At 37.3% G+C, this 21430-nt stretch overlaps 1 long non-coding RNA gene across 1 annotated transcript in view, besides 1 other annotated feature; it reads right to left on the bottom strand.

Moving 5' to 3' along the window:
• LOC105377509 (uncharacterized) overlaps positions 1-948 on the bottom strand; it is a 227163-nt gene extending 226215 nt beyond the window's left edge. Inside the window, exon 1 of the long non-coding RNA XR_007058347.1 lies at positions 728-948. This is a non-coding gene — a long non-coding RNA (uncharacterized LOC105377509). The remainder of the gene's footprint in view (positions 1-727) is intronic.
• Positions 14889-16088: an enhancer, noted in NCBI's record as "BRD4-independent group 4 enhancer chr4:158965685-158966884 (GRCh37/hg19 assembly coordinates)". NCBI's record gives its function as "activates an origin of replication core promoter dependent on BRD2, P300/CBP, MED14 and CDK7 cofactors, and independent of BRD4, by STARR-seq in HCT116 cells {active_cell/tissue: HCT116}" and the evidence as "EXISTENCE:reporter gene assay evidence [ECO:0000049][PMID:35650434]".

The raw sequence follows: 21430 nt of genomic DNA on the forward strand, positions 1-21430 counted from the left end.
AGGGCATATTACCACTGACCCCACAGAAATACAAACAACCATTGTAGAATATTATGACCACCTCTATGCACATAAGCTAGAGAATCTAGAAGAAATGAATAAATTCCTGGACACATACACCCTCCAAAGACTGAACCAGGAAGAAATTGAATTCCTGAACAGAACAATAAAGAGCTCTGAAATTGAGGCAGTAATAAATAGCCTACCAACCAAAACCAAAAAACAAACAAACAAAAAAAACAAAGCCAGAACCAGATGGATTCACAGCTGAGTTCTACCAGATGTACAAAGAAAAGCTGGTACCATACCTACTGAAACTATTCCAAAAAATTGAGGATTGTGGAGGAGGGACTCTTCCCTAACTCATTCTATGAGGCCAGTATCATCCTGATACCAAAACCTGGCAGGGACAAACACACACAAAAGAAAACTTCAGAACAATATCTCTGATGAACATGTATATTGATGCAAAAGTCCTCAATAAAATACTGGCAAACAAAATCCAGCAGCACATCAAAACGCTTATCCACCACAATCAAGTAGGCTTTATTCCTGGGATGCAAGGTTGATTCAACATATGCAAATCAATAAATGAGATCATCACATAAACAGAACTAAAGAAAAAAACCATATGATTATCTAATAGATGCAGAAAAGGCTTTCCATAAAATTCAGCATCCATTTATGTTAAAAAACTCTCAACAAACTAGGTATTGAAGGAACATACCTCAAAATAGTAAGAACCGTATAAGACAAATCCACAACTGGCATCATACTGAATGGGCAAAAGCTGGAAGCATTCTCCTTCAAAACTGGCACAAGACAAGGATGCCCCCGCTCACCACACCTATTCATCATAGTGCTGGAAGACCTGGCAAGGGCAATTAAGAAGAGAAAGAAATAAAGGGCATCCAAATAGGAAGCGAGGAAGTCAAACAGTCTCTGTTTGCAGACAACATGATCTAATATCTAGAAAACCCCATCGTCTCAGCCCAAAAGCTTCTTAAGCTGATAAACAACTTCAGCAAAATCTCAGGATACAAAATCACTGTGCAAAAATAACTACAATTTCCTATACACCAACAACAGTCAAGCCAAGAGCAAAACAGGAACAAACTCTTCTTAACAATTGCCACAAAAAGAATAAAATACCTAGGAATACAGCTAACGAGGGAGATGAAAGAACTCTACAACTAAAACTACAATTTCTCAAAGTAATTAGACATGACACAAACCAATGGAAAAACATTCTATGCTCATGGATACAAAGAATCAATATCATGAAAATAGCCATACTGCACAAAGCAATTTAGAGATTCAATGCTATTCCTATGAAACTACCACTGACATTCTTCACAGAACTAGAGAAAACTACTTTAAAATTCATATGAAACAAAAAAAGAGCCTGAATAGCCAAGGCAATCCTAAGCAAAAAGAACAAAGCTGGAGGCATCATGCTGCCCAACTTCAAACTATACTACAGGGATACAGTAACCAAACAGCATGGTACTAGTACAAAAACAGACATATAGTCCAATGGAACAGAACAGAGACCTCAGAAATAAGGCCACACCCCTATCACCTGATCTTTGACAAACCTGACAAAAACAAGCAATTGGGAGAGGGTTCCCTATTTAATAAATGGTGCTGGGATAACTGGCTAGCCATATACATAAGATTGAAACTGGACCCATTCCTTTCACCATATACAAAATTAACTCAAGATGGATTAAAGACTTAAATGTAAAACCCAAAACTATAAAAACCCTGGAAGACAATCTAGGCAATACCAATCAGGACACAGGCACAGGCAAAGATTTCATGATAAAGACACCAAAAAACAATGTCAACAAAAGCAAAAATTGACAAGTGGGATCTAATTAAACCAAAGAGCTTCTGCACAGCAAAAGAAACTATGAACAGAGTAAATAGACAACCTACAGAATGGGAGAGAATTTTTGCAAACTATGCATCTGACAAAGGTTTAAAGTTCAGTATCTTCTTACACTTACAAAAATAAAAACAAAATAATCCTATAAAAAATGTGGGCAAAGGACATGAACAGACACTTCTCCAAGACAGACATACACGCAGCCAACAAGTACGTGAATTAAAAGCTCAATATCACTGATAATTAGGGAATAGAACCATAATAAGATACCATCTCACACTAGTCAGAATGGCTATTATTAAAATGTCAAAAAATAACAGATGCTGGTAGGTTGTGGAGAAAAAGGAACAGTTACATAGTGTTGGTGGGAGTGTAAATTACTTCAACCATTGTGGAAGACAGTGTGGTGATTCCTTAACGACCTAAAGACAGAAATATCATTCGACTAAGAAATTCCATTCCCGTGTATACACCCAAAGGAATAAAAATCATTCTGTTATAGACACATGAACCTGTAAGTTCACTGCAGCACTCTTCACAATAGCAAAGATATGGAATCAACTTAAATGCCCATCAATAATACACTGGATAAAGAAAATGTAGTACATATACACCATGAAATACTATGCAACCATGACAAAAAACGAGATCATGTTCTTTGCAGGGACATGGATGAAGCTGGAGGCCATGATCCTTAGTAAGCCAACACAGGAACAGAAAACCAAATGCCACATGTCCTCATTTGTAAGTGGGAGCTAAATGATGAGAACACATGGACACATAGAGGGGAATACACACTGGGGCCTTTCGGAGGGTGGAGGGTGGGAGGTGGGAGAGGATCAGGAAAAACAACTAATAGGCACTAAGCTTAATACCTGCGTGATTAAATAATCTATATAGCAAACCCCCATGACACAAGTTTACCTATGCAACAAACCTGCACATGTACCCCTGAACTTAAAATAAAAGTTAAATAAAATTGTCTCAGGAATTAGAGAAAAGGGGAATTTGCCAAATCAATTTTATGAAGGCTTTGTTGTTCTGATATTCAAACACGACAAAAATTTATTAACAAAAACTGATGCCAAAACAATAAATAACTATTAACAAGTATACACACATACAGAAACGCAAACTGAGTTTCAGAGTCTACTTGGCATGCTCAAGATCATGCTGCAAATGCCATAGCCAGCAAACAAACATCTATTTCCAATTTTAATTGCCTTCCATTATAGTGATCACTCCATTAAAGTCAGTGCATCACTGAGTTCTTATTTATTATAAAGGTCTGTTTCTCAATAGCACTTTTGAATGAGAGCTCAGCATTAGACCCACAAAAGAAAATGGTGAAAAAAATGTTCAGACTGGTCCCACCAAGGTTTACTAGGCCTGCAAAGATAAGACGATAAGACTTGTGGCTTTTTCATCAATACTGCTGCACAAAGATAGTATTCAACCTTACTCATATCATCCCATTCCTTATCAGTTGTTACAATGTTATTTTTATTGTATTTAATCTAAATGTCAGTTTTCTCACTCAACAGAAAACAAAGTCTCCAATTTAAAGAAGAAAATACCGTCAGATTTGGATTCCTTTAAATACCCTCCCCTCCATGTCAAGTTTATCTTGAAGCATTCTTATCTCATTTCATTCTGTCCCCACTTGTGTCCAAAGTTAATCTCTTCCACCTATACTTTGAGTTCCGTCCCTTCCTGTCTGCTTTGAGAAATTTCTCTCTTAATTATGTTCACTTATTTTTACCTTATACCTCCCTTCTCTACTGGACCTTTCCTTTCCTTTTACAAACAAATTTAAATTCCTTATCTTAGAAAAAATATAACCCTTCCCTAGTCTTTTCCGTCATTTAAACTGCTTCCTTCCCCGGTTTCCTCCAAATCTAAAGTGCTTAGCAGAACGGTTTTTACTGGATGCAATCACTTTATTTTCTCCTACTCACTCCATGACTCATTTTGGTCTGGTTTCAGCCTCGCACTTCCTTCAAGTTCTTCTTTCAAATAACCCAGCTCTTTAGTACAACTCTCTGACTAGGGGCATGATAGTTATATACCCATCCCTTTGTAAGAGATGGCCATCTTATAGCATTCTTTCAAGAGTCAGTGTGTGTCATGAAAAAAGTTTTTTTTTTGATGGGTGTTTCCAGCTCCTCCTTAAAAATATTCAGTCACCTGGCTGCAGTAAAATGCCGCCAGCTGGGAGATTCAGGACAGAAATGTTTTCACTTCTCTCTCAAGCCTACATGGCTTTCTGAGTACACATTCTACTAATAATTAATCTCCAGTTGTTTCTCCTGGTTAAGTGTTTATCTCTTAAAGTCCAGCATGCCAAGCTCAGCCAAAGAGCTAGAGATAGCAGAAAAAAATTATAACAGCTTATTTTATCATAAATAGTCCCACAGACAATTTTGGCAACTATCCCACTCTCCTCAGGCTACCATCACAAAATACCATAGAGTGAGCGGCTTAAACAACAGAAATTTATTTCTTACAGTTCTGGAGGCTGGAAGTCCAAGATCAAAGTACTAGCTTGATTCAGTTCTCAAGAGGATACTCCTCCTGACTTTCAGATGGCCGTCTTCTCACCGTGTCTTCACATGGCCTTTCTTCTGTTAGTACATGCAAAGAGAGAAGAGAGAGAGAGAGATCTAGAGTCTTCTTATAAAGTCATTAGTCTTGTCACAAAGGCCCTATTATCAGGACCTAATCTAACCCTAACTACTTCCCAAAGACCGCATCTCTAAATACCATCACTTTTGGAATTAGGGTTTCAATGTATGAATTTGAGGGGGTGGGAGGACACAAACATTCAGTCCATATCAGCCACCCTATGGTTGGTTCCAAAGTTGTCAAAACTAACAACTGATTTGGGGATCCTACTTTAATTCAGAATTATAAGCTTCCTCATGTGTTCTGAGTGTGACAGGAGTCATAGGTGGAGATTTCTTGTTACCAGTTTAATTTTAGGCGTATAGTAGCCCCTCCCAGTCTTGATAATACAGAAATACATATCTGAAATCATCACAGTCTTGGGTCATGATGAATCTTTGTTAGCTGTGGGTATTCTTGTAGACTTCAGATTAGGACCTGATGCAAGAATAGCAGCTGAAGAGGTAGATGGCCAGATAAAAATAATGGATTGAACATACACATATCTAATTTCTCTCATTCCTAAAACTACATAAAAATATTTTTAGAAGACATACACTAAAATATGTGGAAAAGAGAAAAAATTAACAACATTTTTCGGCAGTTGGTGCCAAAGGAGGAATAAACTAGATTTTCTTATCAGCTTATCCAGATGTAGGACAGAGGGGAAGGGCAGGGATGGAACTTGAAAGCTATCTGCCCTCAAACATCAATAATAGGATCAGACTGTTTATTAAAATCTAGTATACTGAATTTTGAAATGGCAAGAATTATACCTAGGAGAGAAAAATCTTATTTTTGGAGACTGTAAATTCTAAGTTGATGAAAAATTTATTTGGGGATATTATCTTCTTGAGATTCTATGACTATAATCTTGTATGATAAATGAGGCAACTTAGAAACATTCATTTATCTCAATTCCTACATTAAACAAAGATGGTTTTAAATGCAGACTCTTGAATGACTATTATAATTTGCTTTGTACAGCAGCTAATACTGCCTTAGTGTTATAAGAGTTAAATAATAACTAAATAAGATGAACATTTTTACCACTTTTTCAGTTCCAAATCAAGTGAATTCCCAATAACTTGAGAGATTAAGCAAATGTAAACTGAGTTTCATTTGTATAAAACCAATCTGGGTAATTCAGGAAATGTACTTTGTAGCTTGCTATGAAGATGTCTTTACATTTGACAGTTCTCAGACATCAGTTGTAACAGAATGTTGTACTTTCAATATTAATTTGACAATGTTTTGAATTACTGCTCATTTTTGCATAATATTTTATTTACGCCTGAAAATATACCTTTGTCTCATAATTACAAGATGGTCAGCTAAAAGTTCTGTTTTCAAGTGTACCAAACAGTGGCCAATACACTTCCTTCTGAGAAAAAAAGGAATCACACAGATATCCTTAAAATAACACCTTCTAAGTGTTAAAAGTAGAGTCAAGTAAATAAACACACATCTTTACTAGTGTCCTTTTAGGGACTTTTTTTATCTTTAAAAAATGTTTTAAATTTAAATATTATGGCTATAATACCAATTGATAGCTGTCTGAAATCCTACAATAGGGAAACTTTTGATATGAAAATTGACAATGCTACAAAAGAGTGTACCTAGATCCAGCTAATGGTATGGTCTATATTTCGCAATATTTCCTAAAGAAGGATTAGATCAGGCATATGTGTGCTGTATCTGCAAAAATCTGGAGAAGATTGGTAATACCCTACCCCCAAAATCTGTGTGTTAGGTTAAAAACCACTTATGCAGATGGATCTGATTCTGCTGATTCATCATTCCCATTGTCATTACACAGATGGTTCTAAGGTGAGTTAACAATTTAAGGCGATGTCTACTTGGGGTTACCAGATCTCCTGTGCTGTCTTGAAATAATCATTTAGTCAAGTTCCATGTGGCTAATAAAGCAGCATAACAACACACCCATACACTGACAATGCAAACTAAGATGGCACAAGTGCCAGCCTTAACAAGTCTTCAGATTAGTATTGCTTTTAATAAATAAACAGAAAATTCTCACCTCTTTAATACTTTGGTTAGACAATTCTATAAAAATGCAGATCTCATTAATTTTCCATTATACTCTTAGTAAATGGTACATTGAAGAGAAAATTCTTTTCTGTACGTGCTTCATTGCAACTAATGTACTTGGTGCTGTTTTTTGTGATTGCTATTTATTTAACTAATTCTTACTAAGGATGCCATGGATAATTTTCTTTTTCTTTATTCTCCATTTTTTAGCAATATAGTGGGATACAGAGCCCTTTTGCTTTCTGACTTCACACACAGTGCAGGTGTTTTAGAATGCAGATTGAAACTAATCACTGGGAAAGAAGTGAAGAGATAATATGCTAAATATGTGAATCTGACTGTTCACAGAGACTGTATTACAAAATTGAATGCAATAAAGTAATTACTGGTTTGTCTGATAATTTTGCACCAATGATTAATGATGAACTAAAATCAGAAGCAAACGATTGTAACAGCTTCCCTCAATAAAAACCACACTTAATTTTTTTTCTTACATGTACTTAGTAAAGAAATTGTGGAAAACACAAAATATAAAGAGAAAATCCAGGTGATAAAATTCTATCATCTAGAAATATCTACTATTAACATTTTGGAATTTTATATCCAATAACATTGTTACTTTTTATGCATGTGTGTAAGAATGTATCTCTTAGTGCCTCAGCAGTAGGCACTAGAATTGTGTCCTCCCCATTGCAAGCCTAAAGCAGAAGAAGAGCTGCTACTGCTGTACTTTCTCCTAGGCTGTAAGACTTCCAAACAGGGCCAGCTTGGCAACCTGGAATTGGTCTGCCTGTGTCATTGCTGGGTGTCCCAGCCTCCTCTCCTGAGACAGTGGTGCAGCAAGGCCCTTTCCACTCCACCCCCAGGAAGGACTCCAGGCATTCAGAGCACACACTTGCCTGCACCAGCAGCCTGAGTCACCCCCACCCTTCCTGTGCACAGATCAAGGTGCAACAGAGCCTTCTTTACTTCACCTCCAGGCAGATATCCAGGCATTTGGAGCACTTGCTGTCATGGACTAGCAACCTGAGGCACCCCACCCTTCCTGTGCAGAGATCCTGGTGCTGGAGGACCCTCTTCACCTCATGGCCAGACAGATCTCCAGGAATTCAGAGCAACCACTCATCTCAATCAACAGACCGTGCTGCTCCATCTTTCCTGTGCAGAGATTGTGGTGAAGCAGACCCTTCTCTACTCCTGCCCAGGCAGATCTCCAAGAACTTAGAGCCTTGCTCACACAAATCAGCAGCCTGAGCTGGCCCACCCTCCCTGTGCAGAGTCTATAGTGAAGCGGGACCCTCTCTACCCTATGACCAGGCATAACTCCAGGCAGTTGGAGCGCATATTAGGCTGGATTATAAACCTGAACAGCCACACCATTCCTGTGCAGATTGAGGTGCAGTGGGTCCCTCTAGACTCTACACTCAGGCAGATCTCCAGGCATTTGGAGCAACCACTTTCCTGGGTTAGGAGTTTAGGCTGCTCCCCTGACCATGCAGAAAACTTGAGGCCAAGGAGGTGTCCTAGCTCCATACCTAGGCACACCTCTTGGTGATGGGTGGCTGCCCACTGGATTCTCCCTCAGCACCAGGGCTTGTGCCTTACACTGGGGAATCTATAGGTGGTCCTGCTCAATCCCACCTTGTCCATCTTGCTCCCTGCCCACTTCCAGGATGAGCAAGGAGCCCAGACCACTGTGCACTCCAACAACAAGACCACTGCCTGATGAAACTGAGAGCGTGCCCTGGTAAACAAGGATCAAGTATATACTCAGCCACATTCACCTCAGCGGCTCTCATCCATAAGCACCATCTACTGACTTATAAGTCAAACCACACAGCTCAATATAAAACACTCCAAAAGGCTGGTGCAGTGGCTCACGCCTGTAATCCTAGCACTTTGGGAGGCTGAGGTGGGTGGATCACGAGGTCAGGAGATCAAGACCATCCTGGCCAACATGGTGAAACCCCCTCTCTACTAAAAATACCAAAAAATTAGCCGGGCATGGCAGTGCATGTCTGTAGTCCCAGCTACTCAGGAGGCTGAGGCAGAAGAATTGCTTGAACCCAGGAGGTGGAAGCTGCAGTGAGCCAATATCATGCAACTGCACTCCAGCCTGGGTGACAGAGAGAGACTCTGTCTCAAAAAAAAAAAGAAAAAAAAGTGCCAAAAGAAGTACGTAGGGCTATAGAAGCAAAGCCAAAGTATTCTACCCAGAATTTTCTACAGTCACACTACCTAGAGCACAGCAGAAAGGGAAAGGAAAATAAACAAACAAAAATTCAATAATATTCTAGATAAAGAAAGAAAAGGGAAAAACAATTTGCATGAAAATAACTATAAAAATTAGAAGTGCCAGCATTTCCAAATGAGAAGGAATCAGTGTAAGAATTCTTGTACAATGAAAAATCTGAGTGTAGTGACATCACCAAAGGTTCACACTAGTTCTCCAGTAATGGGCCCTAGACAAAATGGAAACTCAGAAATTCCATAAATAATTCAAAGCATAGATTGCAAGGAAGCTCAATGAGATCCAACCTAAGATTGAATATCAACACAAAGAAATTTATAAATCAATCCAGAAAAAGAAATAAGAGATAAACATCTTTGAAAATTAAATCAGAGCCTCTGGAATTGAAAAATTCACTCAAGGAATTTCAAAATGCAATTGAAAGTTTTATCAACTGACCAAGCAGAAGAAAGAATTTCAGAATTTGAAGACCAATCTTTAACCCAATCAGACAAAAATACAGAAAAAAAGAATTTTAAAATATGAAGTTTTTGAAAAATAGGAGACTATGTAAAGTGACCAAACCTATGAATTATTAACATTCCTGAGAAAAAAGAAGAAAAAGCAAACAACCTGTAAAACATGTTTGAGGGAATAATTTAAGAAAATTTCCCTATCTGGCTAGAGAGGTAGATATCCAGATACAAGAAATCCAGATAACACCTGCGAGATACTATACAAAATGAACATTACCAAGGCATATAGTCACAAGACTATACAAAGTCAACACTAAATAAATGAATCTTAAAGGCAGCTAAAGAAAAAGGTCAGATCACATACAAAGGGAACTACATTTAGCTAACAGCAGATGTCTCAGCAGAATTCTTATAAGCCAGGAGAGACTGGAGGCCTATTTTCAGCATTCTTTAAAAAAGATATTTCAATAAAGAATTTTATATCCCACCAAATTAAGCTTCATAAGTGAGGGAGCATAAAATATTTTCCACACAAGCAAGTGCTAAGACCACTAGACCAGCCTTACAAAAGATCTTTAAGGGATCTCTAAACATAGAAACTAAAGAATGATACCTCCTACCACAAAATCATACTTAAGTACATAGCCCACAGACCCTATAAAGCACACACAGTAGAAACTACAAAGCAACCAGTGAACAACTTCATGATAGGATTAAAACCTCACATATCAGTATTAACTTTGAATGTGAATGGTCTCAATATCCCACTTAAAAGGCACAGAGTTGCAAGTTGGATAAAAAAAACAAGACCCATCCTTCTGCTGTATTCAAGAGACCCATCTGACATGTAACAATACCCATAGGCTCAAAGCCAAGTGTTGAAGAAAGATCTAGCATGTAAACAGAAAACAAAAAAGAACACAGGTTGCTATTCTTATATCAGATAAAGACTTTAAACCAACACTGGTTAAATTTTGAATAAAGAAGGACATTACAAATGATAAAGAGTTAAAGTCAACAAGAAGCCTTAAATATCCTAAATACATATGCACCCAATGTTGGAGCACCCTGATTCATGAAACTTCTTCTAGACCTATGGAAAGACTTAGCCACACAATAATAGTGGAGGACTTCAACACCTCATGGACAGTGATAGATAGATAATCTATTTAACAAATAAATTCTGGGCTTAAAACTAACAAAGAAACTCTGGACTTAGATTTGACACTTGATCAATTGGATCTAATAAACATCTGCAGAACACTCCACCCATCAACCCTGAAATATATATCCTTCTCATCTGCACATGGAACACACTCCAAGATCAACCACATGCTCAGCCATAAGGCAAGTCTCAATAAATTAAAAAAAAATTGAAATCATACCAATGATACTCTCAGACCACAGTGGAATGAAAAGAGAAATCAATAACAAGAAGTTTTCCCAAAACTGCAAAATTACATGGAAATTAAACAATTTGCTTCTGAATGACTTTTTATAAACAGTGAAATTAAGGCAGAAACTTAAAAGTTCTTTGAAATAAGTGAAAACAGAGACATGACATGCCAAAATCTCTGAGACACTGCAAAAGCAGTGTTAACGGAAAAGCTTATAGCACTAAATGCCTACCTCAAGAAGTTAGAAAGATGTCAAATTAATGACCTAGCATCACACCAAAGGAAATAGAAAAACAAGAACAAACTAATCCCAAAGCTAGCAAAAGAAAATAAATAACAAAATCAGAGCAGAACTGAATGAAACTGAGACTCAAAAATCCATACAAAGAGTCAAATAAACCAAAAGTTGGTTCTATGAAAGGATAAACAAGATCAGTAGACCACTAGCTAGATTAACAAAGAAAACATGAAAGAAGATCCAAATAAGCACGATCAGAAAGACAAAGGTGGCATTACAACTGATCCCACAGAAATACAAAGATCCTCAGAGATTATATGAACACCTCCATGCACACAAACTGGAAAATCTAGAGAAACTGTATAAATTTCTGGAAACACACAACCTATCAAGATTGAATCAGGAAGAAATTGAAACCTTGATCAATATTGAGTTCCAAAATTAAATCAGTAATAAAAAAACCTACAGAACAAAAAAGCCCCAGACCAGATGGATTCACAGAAAAATTCCATAAGGTGTACAAAGAAGAGCTGGCACCAATTCTACTGAAACTACTCCAAAAACAAAAAAAATTGAGGAGGGACTTCTTCCTACTTAACTCTTTCTACAAAGCCAGCATTATCCTGATACTCAAACTTGACAAAGACACAACGAAAAAAGAAAACCACAGGCCAATATCCATGATGAACATAGATGCAAAAAAAGGTAAACAAAACACTAGCAAGCCAAATCCAGTAGCACATCAAAAAGCTAATTCACTATGATCAAATAGGCTTCATTTCTGGGATGCAAGTTTGGTTCAAAATATGCAAATCAATAAATGGGATTCACCACATAAACTGAATTAAAAACAAAAAACGTACGACATCCTAATAGATGTTGAATCAGCCTTCAATAAAATCCAACATCTCTTCATGATTAAAAAAAAAACCCTCAACAAACTAGGCATTAAAGGAACATACCTCAAAATAATAATAGCCATCTATTACAAACCCACAGGCAACATCATACTGAACAGGAAAAAGGTAGAAGCATTCTCCCTGAGAAATGGAACAAAATAAGGATGCCCACTCTCACCACTCATCTTCAACATAGTGCTGAATTCCTAGCCAGAGCAATCAGGCAAGAGAAAGAATAAAATGCATGCAAATAGGAAACGGAGAAATCAAACTATCTCTCTTCATGGATGATATGATTCTATAACTGTGAACTCTAAAGACTCCACCAAAAGGCTCCTGGAACTGATAAACAACTTCATTAAAGCTTCAGTATACCAAACCAATGTACAAAAATCAGTAGCATTTCTGTACACCAGTAACATTCAAGCTGAAAGCCAAATCAAGAATACCATCCCATTCACAATAGATACACACACACAAAAATAAATTACCTAGGAATACATCAAACCAAGAAGGTAAAAGATCTCTACACGGAGAACTACAAAACACTGCTGAAAGAAATCATAGATGACACAAATAAATGGAAAAATATTCCATGATCATGGATTAGTAGAATCAAATTATTAAAGCAATTTACAGATTTGTCACTATTCCTATCAAACTACCAATGTCGTTTTTCACAGAACTAGAAAAGACTATTCTAAAATTCATATGAAACCAAAAAAGAGCCCAAATGGTCAAAACAATTCTAAACAAAAAAGAACAAAGTCAGAAGCATCTCATTACCCAACTTCAAACTATACTATTATATAAGACTCTAGTAACCAAAACAGCATAGTACTGGTACAAAAAAGAATAGAGAACCCGGAAATAGAGCCACACACCTATAGCCATCTGATCTTTGACAAAATCACCGAAAACAAGCAATGGGGAAAGGACTCCCTATGCAATAAATGGTGCTAGGATAGCTAGCTAGCTTTATGTAGAAGAATGCAGCTAGACCCATGTACAAAAATCAATTCAAAATGGGTTGGAGATTTAAATGTAAGACTGCAAACTACAAGAATCCTAGAAGAAAACTTAGGAATACCATTCTGGACACTACCCTTTGAAAAGAATTTATGACTAAGTCCTCAAAAGCAATTGCATAAAAACAAAAATTGGCAAGTGAGAACCAACTAAAGAACTTCTGAACAGAAAAAGAAACTATCAACAGAGTAAACAGACAACCTCCAGACTGAGAGAAAATATCCACAAACTGCATTGCATTCAACAAAGTTCCATTATCCAGAATCTATAAGGAATTTAAACAATTCAACATCAGAAAACAACCCCATTAAAAAGTGGGCAAAAGATAGGAACAGATGCTTCTCAAAAGAAAACATACAAGTGGCCAATAAACATGAAAAAATGCTCAACATTAATAATCACCAGAAGAATGCAAATCAAAACCACAATGAGATACCATCTCACATCAGTCAGAATAGCTATTACTAAAAAGTACAAAAACAACAGATACTTGCAAGGCTGCAGAGAAAAGGGAATGTTTATACACTGTTGGTGTGAATGTAAATTAATTCAGCCACTGTAGAAAGCAGTTTGCGGAACTTAAAGAACTTAAAACAGAACCACCATTTGACCCCCATTACTAGGTGTATACCCAAAATAACATAAGTTGTTCTACCCAAAAGACATATGCACTTATATATTCATTGCAGCACTATTTACAATAGCGAAGACATGGAATCAACCTAGGTAGCCATCAGTGGTGAATTGGATAAAGAAAATGTGGTACACATACCCCAAGGAATACTACATGCAATAAAAAATAATGAAACATGAATGCAGCTGGAAGCCATTATTCTAAGCAAATTAATGGAGAAACAGAAAAGCAAATACCACATGTTCTCACTTCTAAGTGGGAGCTAAACTTTGGGTACTCATGGGCATAAACATGCAACAATATACACTGGGAACTAATAGAGGAGAGAGGAAGGGAAGGAGGGGGGAAAGCATTGAAAACTTGTTAGGTTCAATACTCACTACCTAGGTGACAGGATCATTCATACCCCAAAACTCATCATCATGTGATATGCCCACGTAACAAACCTGCACATGTATTCCCTTAATCTAAAAGAAAAGTTGAAATTATACAAAAAATGTTAAAAAAAAAAAAAAAGTCTAACTTAATCCTAAATCCTTAACCCTAAAAAAAACAAAAAACCAAAAGAAAAAAGAAAAGAGTTCCTTCCCACCTCCTCCTATCCTCAGTTTTGGTTATCAGTGTAATGTTGAACTCATAGAATGATCTGGGAATTGTTTCCTTCATTTTCTAAAAATTCTCTAAGAATTTTCTTACAATTCCCACATCTGTTATTTCTTCGCTACATGTTTGAGAGAATTTACCAGTGGGGGGGAATGTGTTCCTTGCAATATTACCGCATGCTCTTTGTCTGTATATAATATGCAAATAGAAGCATGCAGCTAGATTTTACTTTATGTAATGTTGAGAGGTGACAGCATGCTGGCGGCCCTCACTCACTCTCGCTGCCTCCTCGGCTTTGGCGCCCACTCTGGCCGCGCTTGAGGAGCCCTTCAGCCCGCCTCTGCACTCTGGGAGCCCCTTTCTGGGCTGGCCAAGGCCCAGGCGGCTCCCTCAGCTTGCCGGGAGGTGTGGAGGGAAATGCACGGACAGAAACCCGGGCTATGCGCGGCGCTTGCGGTGCAGCTAGAGTTCCGGGTGGGCGTGGGCTCGGCAGCCCCAGCACTCCGAGCGGCCGGCAGGCCAGCAAGCCCCAGGCAGTGAGGGACTTAGCACCTGGGCCAACAGCTGCTGTGCTCGATTTCTCGCCGGGCCTTAGCTGCCTCCCCGCAGGGCAGGGCTCGGGACCTGCAGCCCGCCATGCCTGAGCCTCCCCGCCCTGCCCTGGGCTCCTGCACAGCCCGAGCCTCCCTGATGAGCGCCGCTTCCTGCTCCAAGGCGCCTAGTCCCATCGACCGCCCAACGGCTGAGGAGTGTGGGCTCACGGCGGGGGACTGGCAGGCAGTTCCACCGGCTGCCCGGGTGCGGGATCCCCTGGGTGAAGCCAGCTGGGCTCCTGCGTCTGGTGGGGACTTGGAGAACCTTTATGTCTAGCTAAGGTATTGTAAATACACCAATCAGCACTCTGTATCCAGCTCAAGGTTTGTAAACATACCAGTCAGCACCCTGTGTCTAGCTCAGGATTTGTGAATGCACCAATGGGCACTCTGTACCTAGTCAGTCTGGTGGGGACTTGGAGAATCTTTATGTCTAGCTAAGGGATTGTGAATGCACCAATCGTCACTCTGTATCTAGCTCAAGGTTTGTAAATGCACCAATGGACACTCTGTATCCAGCTAATCTAGTGGGGACATGGAAAACTTTTGTATTTAGCTCAGGGATTATAAACGCACCAATCAGCACCCTGTCAAAACGGACCAATCGGCTCTCTGTAAAACAGACCAATCAGCTCTCTGTAAAATGGAGCAATCAGCAGGATGTGGGTGGGGCCAGATAAGAGAATAAAAGCAAGCTGCCCGAGCTAGCAGTAGCAATTTGCTGAGGTTCCTTACCCCACCTTGGAAGGTTTGTTCTTTTGCTCTTTGCAGTAAATTTTGCTGCTGCTCACTGTTTGGGTCCACTCTGCGTTTGTGAGCTGTAACACTCATTGCAAAGGTCTGCAGCTTCTCTCCTGAAGCCAGTGAGACCACGAACCCACCAGGAGGAACCAACAATTCCAGACATGCTGTCTTAAGAGCTGTAACACTCACCGCGAGGTCTGCAGCTTCACTCCTGAGCCAGCGAGATCACGAACCCACCAGAAGGAAGAAACTCCGAACACATCCGAACATCAGAAGGAACAAACTCCAGACAGGCCACCTTTAAAAACTGTGACAGTCACAGCAAGGGTCCGTGGCTTTATTCTGGAAGTCAGCGAGACCAAGAACCCACCAATTCTGGACGCGATGTTACACCATGTGCATTGTTCAATGCTTATAAATTGCCTTCAAGAACACTGATTTTATGTGACTACATAATCCTCCACTTGGTCAGTGTGCTACAATTCATTAAACTTTTCTTTCTCATTAGTGGACATTCAATTTGAGCCAAGGCATAAGGTTGAGTTTGTTTGTTATAATGTTTCAATGACCGTACTTGTATATAAAGATGTATACTTATCGCCAAGTATTTCTTTTGGACGTAAAGTAGTAGTTTATTGTTATTTTGTCATTATGTACATGTCCAAATTTCTTCACAAATGTGTTGCACCAGTTTATAATCCCATCAGCAGTCTATCATATTGTCCTCTGTGCCACATCCTTACCATCATTAAATATTACCTTTTTAAAAAAGAACTTCAGCAGTGTTATGCAGGGACATAATATAGTATTTCACAGTTATGGTCAATTTTCTATATAATTATAGGTCAGATGTATTTCCCTTTTGTAAATTTTATCTCTATGTCCTCATCATATTTTTTTATCATGACTTGCTGAATCATTTGTGAATACCATTCAATTCTTAGCACAAGGTTTTTAAAACTGTCTTAAGTATTTTTAAATTCTATGTGTTTTTTTTTAAATCAAGTGAGTTTGTTTCAAATAAGCAATAGTAATACCCCAATATTTGTAAATAAGCACAAGATTAGGCATAGAAAAGAAAATACTTTTTAAATCTCTTGCTTTCTTCTTTCACAAAGACCTTTAGTTATAATTTTTTTATTTGCATCTTTCACTTGCATAGAACACATATATTTTGTATGAGATCCAGAGTAATCACTTTCCTCTAAGATCCTCTTCACCTTTTTGAGCCCTCACTATGCATAATAGATGTGCCCACTTACACAAGTACAATGAGATGTGATGAAGTAGGGGAAAGCGTTTTTTTGTGGGAAAAGAGTGCCACACATGTTTTGAACGTACGGAATTTGACCCTAAGTAGACAGGAGTCATATTCCAAACAAATAGGTCTCTATGGTGGTAACTTTCAACAACTTGAACTATGACGTTCATTTTAAAAGAATAACAAGATAATTGACAAGTTTTTCATAGGCTTTTATTGGAGAGAGGGAAGATGTCCATGAAGTAAGAATTGGTGTTGAAATTATAAATGCTACATTGTTTGGGGAATTCCATGTCCAGAATCTGCCCTCTTAACAACAGGGCAATTGTTTGACCTTCAACTTTTAACAAATTGTGGTTAAGTTAAAACACTATCTGGAAATCCTACAGTAAATATCTGCATGCTATTTGCAACCATGTCAAAAAATGAGAAAAAAAGCATGCTAAAATGTAAAAATTATTTATCCAAATCATTTTGATTTCGTAAGAGTAATAAAGTAAGTGTAATAAAGACAACATATTTTTTAAAAGTAGATCTCATGCATATATGCAAACATTTTCCCTGATTATAGGTACAAGGGCTCATGACATAGTCATTTAAAAAATCATATATTAGATCATAAAAAAGGTTTCATAATTTCAAAAAAGTTAGAAATACAGAAAGCATTCCTGATTATAATATAATAAAACAAGAAATTAATACAAAATAAGAGACAAAAAATGCTTCCACTTGAACATAATTCTTTAAATTAAAAAATTAAAATTCTTTCATAAAAAACTTTAAAGAACTATAAGCCAAAAATTCAAAATATTTGAAAAGTAATGAACACATCGTATACTGACTTTGTATATAAACTTTTTACCATAAAAAAGAAAAATGAATATAGAAACAAAAGCAGAAATTATATAAAGAAGGGAACAGACAAGATTAAAACTAAAAAATAAAACAATAAAAGTAATTTAAAAAGCTTTTATTAAATCAATAAAATGGATTAAAACCTTCACTATCCTAATCAAGAATAAAAGAAGGAAGAAATCTATGTGCATGTTAAAATACATGACAAGGAGATAATAAGCATAGAAGCAGGGTAATTTTTTGAAGAGACTACTTTCCTAACACTCAGAGCCATGAGTTTAAAATTTGGATAAGATAGAACATTTCTAGAAGATACAATTTTCCAACGCTGACAAGAGTATATACACAAATCCTGAAAAAAAATTAGTCAAATAGTTAGATATAAAAAATCTATCCCCAAAATAAAAAAAATTAGGGCTTGATACTCTCAAAGATAATCCTTCCAAACTCTAGAACAAATAATTATTATGCAAATTATTCTACAGCACATTAAAAAATAAAGTTTCAAATTATTATTTTTTTAAGTTTTAAAAAATTAAGATAAGGTCTCACTCCACCACAAAGGCTGGAGTGCAGTGGCATAATCACAGCTCACTGCAGCTTCGACCTCCTGGGCTCAAGTGACCCTCCCATCTCAGCCTCCCAGGTAGCTAGGACTACAGGTGTGCACCACCACACCTGGGTACTTTTTTTTTTTTTTTTTTGTAGAGACGAGGTTTCGCCATGTTGCCCAGGCTGATCTCAAACTCCTGGGTTCAAGTGATCCTCCTGCCTCAGCCTCCCAAAGTGCTGGGGTGTGAGCCACTATGCCTGGCCTAAAGTTTCAAATTATTTGAGTAAAGTGGATTACATTGATATTAAAACATAAAAAAGATTGAAAATGGACAAACAAAATGTTGACCAACTTTCCTTATTTAAGAAACTCTCAAATAGAATATTGTGAAGACTTTGCAGCAGCACATTGAAATAACAATACATCAAGAACAAGCAATATTTATTCCAAACATACAGGGATGGCTCAACGTTATAAAGTAGTTTCATATATTTCATTCTTTTTGTAGATCTATGGCAAAAAATTACATGATTATTTTCCTGGATGCTGAAATGGCATTTGATAAAATTTGTACCAATTTTTTATTTACAAGGAAAAAACTCAAAATGTACAAATTAGTGGAAAATATGCAAACATATCTGCACATGCACACACATGTGCACGCACACACACACACACACACACAATCAAGCCCAGAAATCAGCAAGCTAAGTGGGGGGAAAAAATGAGGAATAAGACGAATGCTATTACCATGACTAATGAGCTGCAAGTATTAGCCTTTGAAATTATGACACAAAAAGATATTAGAAGTTTACAAACATGAAAGGATGAGGTAAAATTAACCCTCTTTGCAAATGATATGATTAGATACTTGGAAACCAACATAATTCCTGTTGGGGGATAAAACTGGGGAAACTAAGTGGGGAAAAAAACTGGAAAGCAAAGAAAACATAGATGTATTACTTGATAATGTTGGAGTGGAGAAGAAAGGCCTTTTAATCATGACATAAAATGCAGAGGCCAAGTTACAATGGTGATGATTAAAAAGTCAGAAAACAACAGATGCTGGAGAGGACGTGGAGAAATAGGAATGCTTTTACACTGTTGGTGGGAGTGTAAATTAGTTCAACCATTGTGGAAGACAGTGTGGTGATTCCTCAAGAATCTAGAACCAGAAATACCATTTGACCCAGCAATCCCATTACTGGGTGTATACCCAAAGAATTATAAATCATTCCACTATAAAGACACATGCACACGTATGCTTATTGCAGCACTATTTACAATAGCAAAGTCATGAAACCAACTCTAATGCCCATCAATGATAGACTGGATAAAGAAAATGTGGCACAAATACACTATGGAATACTATGCAGCCATAAAAGAGGATGAGTTTATGTCCTTTGCAGGGACATAGATGAAGCTGCAAGCCATCATTCTCAGTAAACTAACACAGGAACAGAAAACGAAACACCGCATGTTCTCACTCATAAATGGGAGTTGAACAATGAGAACACATGGACACAGGGAGGGAAACATTACACACATGGGCCTGTTGAGGGGTAGGGGGCTAGGAGACAGAGAGCATTAAGAGAAATACCTAACATAGATGACGGGTTGATGGGTGCAGCAAACCACCATGGCACATGTATATCTGTGTAACAAACCTGCACGTTCTGCACATGTATTCCAGAACTTAAAGTATAATAAGAAAAGAAAAAAATAATGCAGAGGCCATTAAAGTTAGATTGATAAGATCTAAGCCTGACGGTCTCCATTTATGACACCGCTATCTACTGTTTTTTCCCTGTTTTGCTGAAACCAGATCTTCTCCCTAATAGCATCAACAAAGTAAGTTTTGTTACTTTTACCTCCATTCATGAATAAAAGTCCTTCCTGATATCTTATTTGATTCAAGCCCTGATTAAATTAATATTTTTCAAAACCATCATTTTTCTAAAAGTATTCATTTTTCTAAATATATCTGGTGAGCCTAAAAGAATAATTTGATTAAAAACTAATAAGATGCATAAAGAAGAAAATGTTTCTGCCTATAATATCTTTTAGTAAAGATTCGAAGTTTTGCAAAGATACTAATAGACTAACAAATGGTTTTGTTTTATATTTTAACTTGGCTTTTTAAAAAAACTTAAATCTGACTCCCTGATTGTATCAATAAAATGTATCAATAAAAATGAGGGAAAAGAACAAAGAAAACTATTTTCAAAGATAGATCTCATCAAAAACAAATATATCTATTATTAGATTCTAACTTGGAAAAAAAATTTAACCTTAACTTCCATATAGTATCTCTTACAGTTTTTTGTTAAAATATTTTCTTAATGCAAGTCAAGACCAACTTATCTTTACAGATATATTTAGAGGTAACTTAAGATTTAGGAATATTAATATATTAACCTTTTTCAGTGTTTACTGTCACTTTCATTTAATCTCTTAATAAATCCTGGGCTGGATTAACTGAATAAATGAGTGATATTACTGAATTCTTTCATTTGTGAGTAGATAAATTCTAACCCTACCAAAGATATCAGAAGAGAAAAAAAAAGTAAAAAAAAAAAAAAAATAGATAAATTCTTTCCCTTCATTCAGTGTTTTAAGCTTCTTTACTCAGATCTAATTTGACTGACTGTAAGGCAAATATAAAGTCAATCTATTGATGAACAAGATGCTATGAATAAGAATTTTAAAAATAAAGTTATATCAGCCTGGCGCGGTGGCTCACACCTGTAATTCCAGCACTTTGGGAGGCCAAGGCAGGCGGATCACGAGGTCAGGAGATCGAGACCATCTTGGCTAGTACGGTGAGACCCCGTCTCTACTAAAAATACAAAAAATTAGCCGGGCATGGTGGCGGCGCCTGTAGTCCCAGCTACTCCGGAGGCTGAGGCAGGAGAATGGCGTGAACCTGGGAGGCGGAGCTTGCAGTGAGCAGAGATCACGCCACTATGCTCCAGCCTGGGCGACAGAGCGAGACTCAGTCTCAAAAAAAAACAAACAAAAGAAAATAATAAATAAAGTTATATCAAATCACATAAATCTGCTTTTGTATATAAATTTGGAAACGCCAAAGACATTTTTCATGTCAGTCTGAAACTCGGCTTTAATTTTAAAATAATCTAGCTCAGGCTGAAAAAACTGGAATAAGAATTTGGAATTTACCATCTAATAATCACGGATCTTGAACTGTGGGGATGACTGCAGAAGGAAGACTAAAGGAAGTCAGGACTTTGCTGCTTTGGAAAATGAGACAACACTGTTCAACATCAGCAAAAGACTGATAATGACAGAGA

The sequence above is a fragment of the Homo sapiens genome, chromosome 4 (genome assembly GCF_000001405.40).
Source record: "Homo sapiens chromosome 4, GRCh38.p14 Primary Assembly".
NCBI lineage: Eukaryota > Metazoa > Chordata > Mammalia > Primates > Hominidae > Homo > Homo sapiens.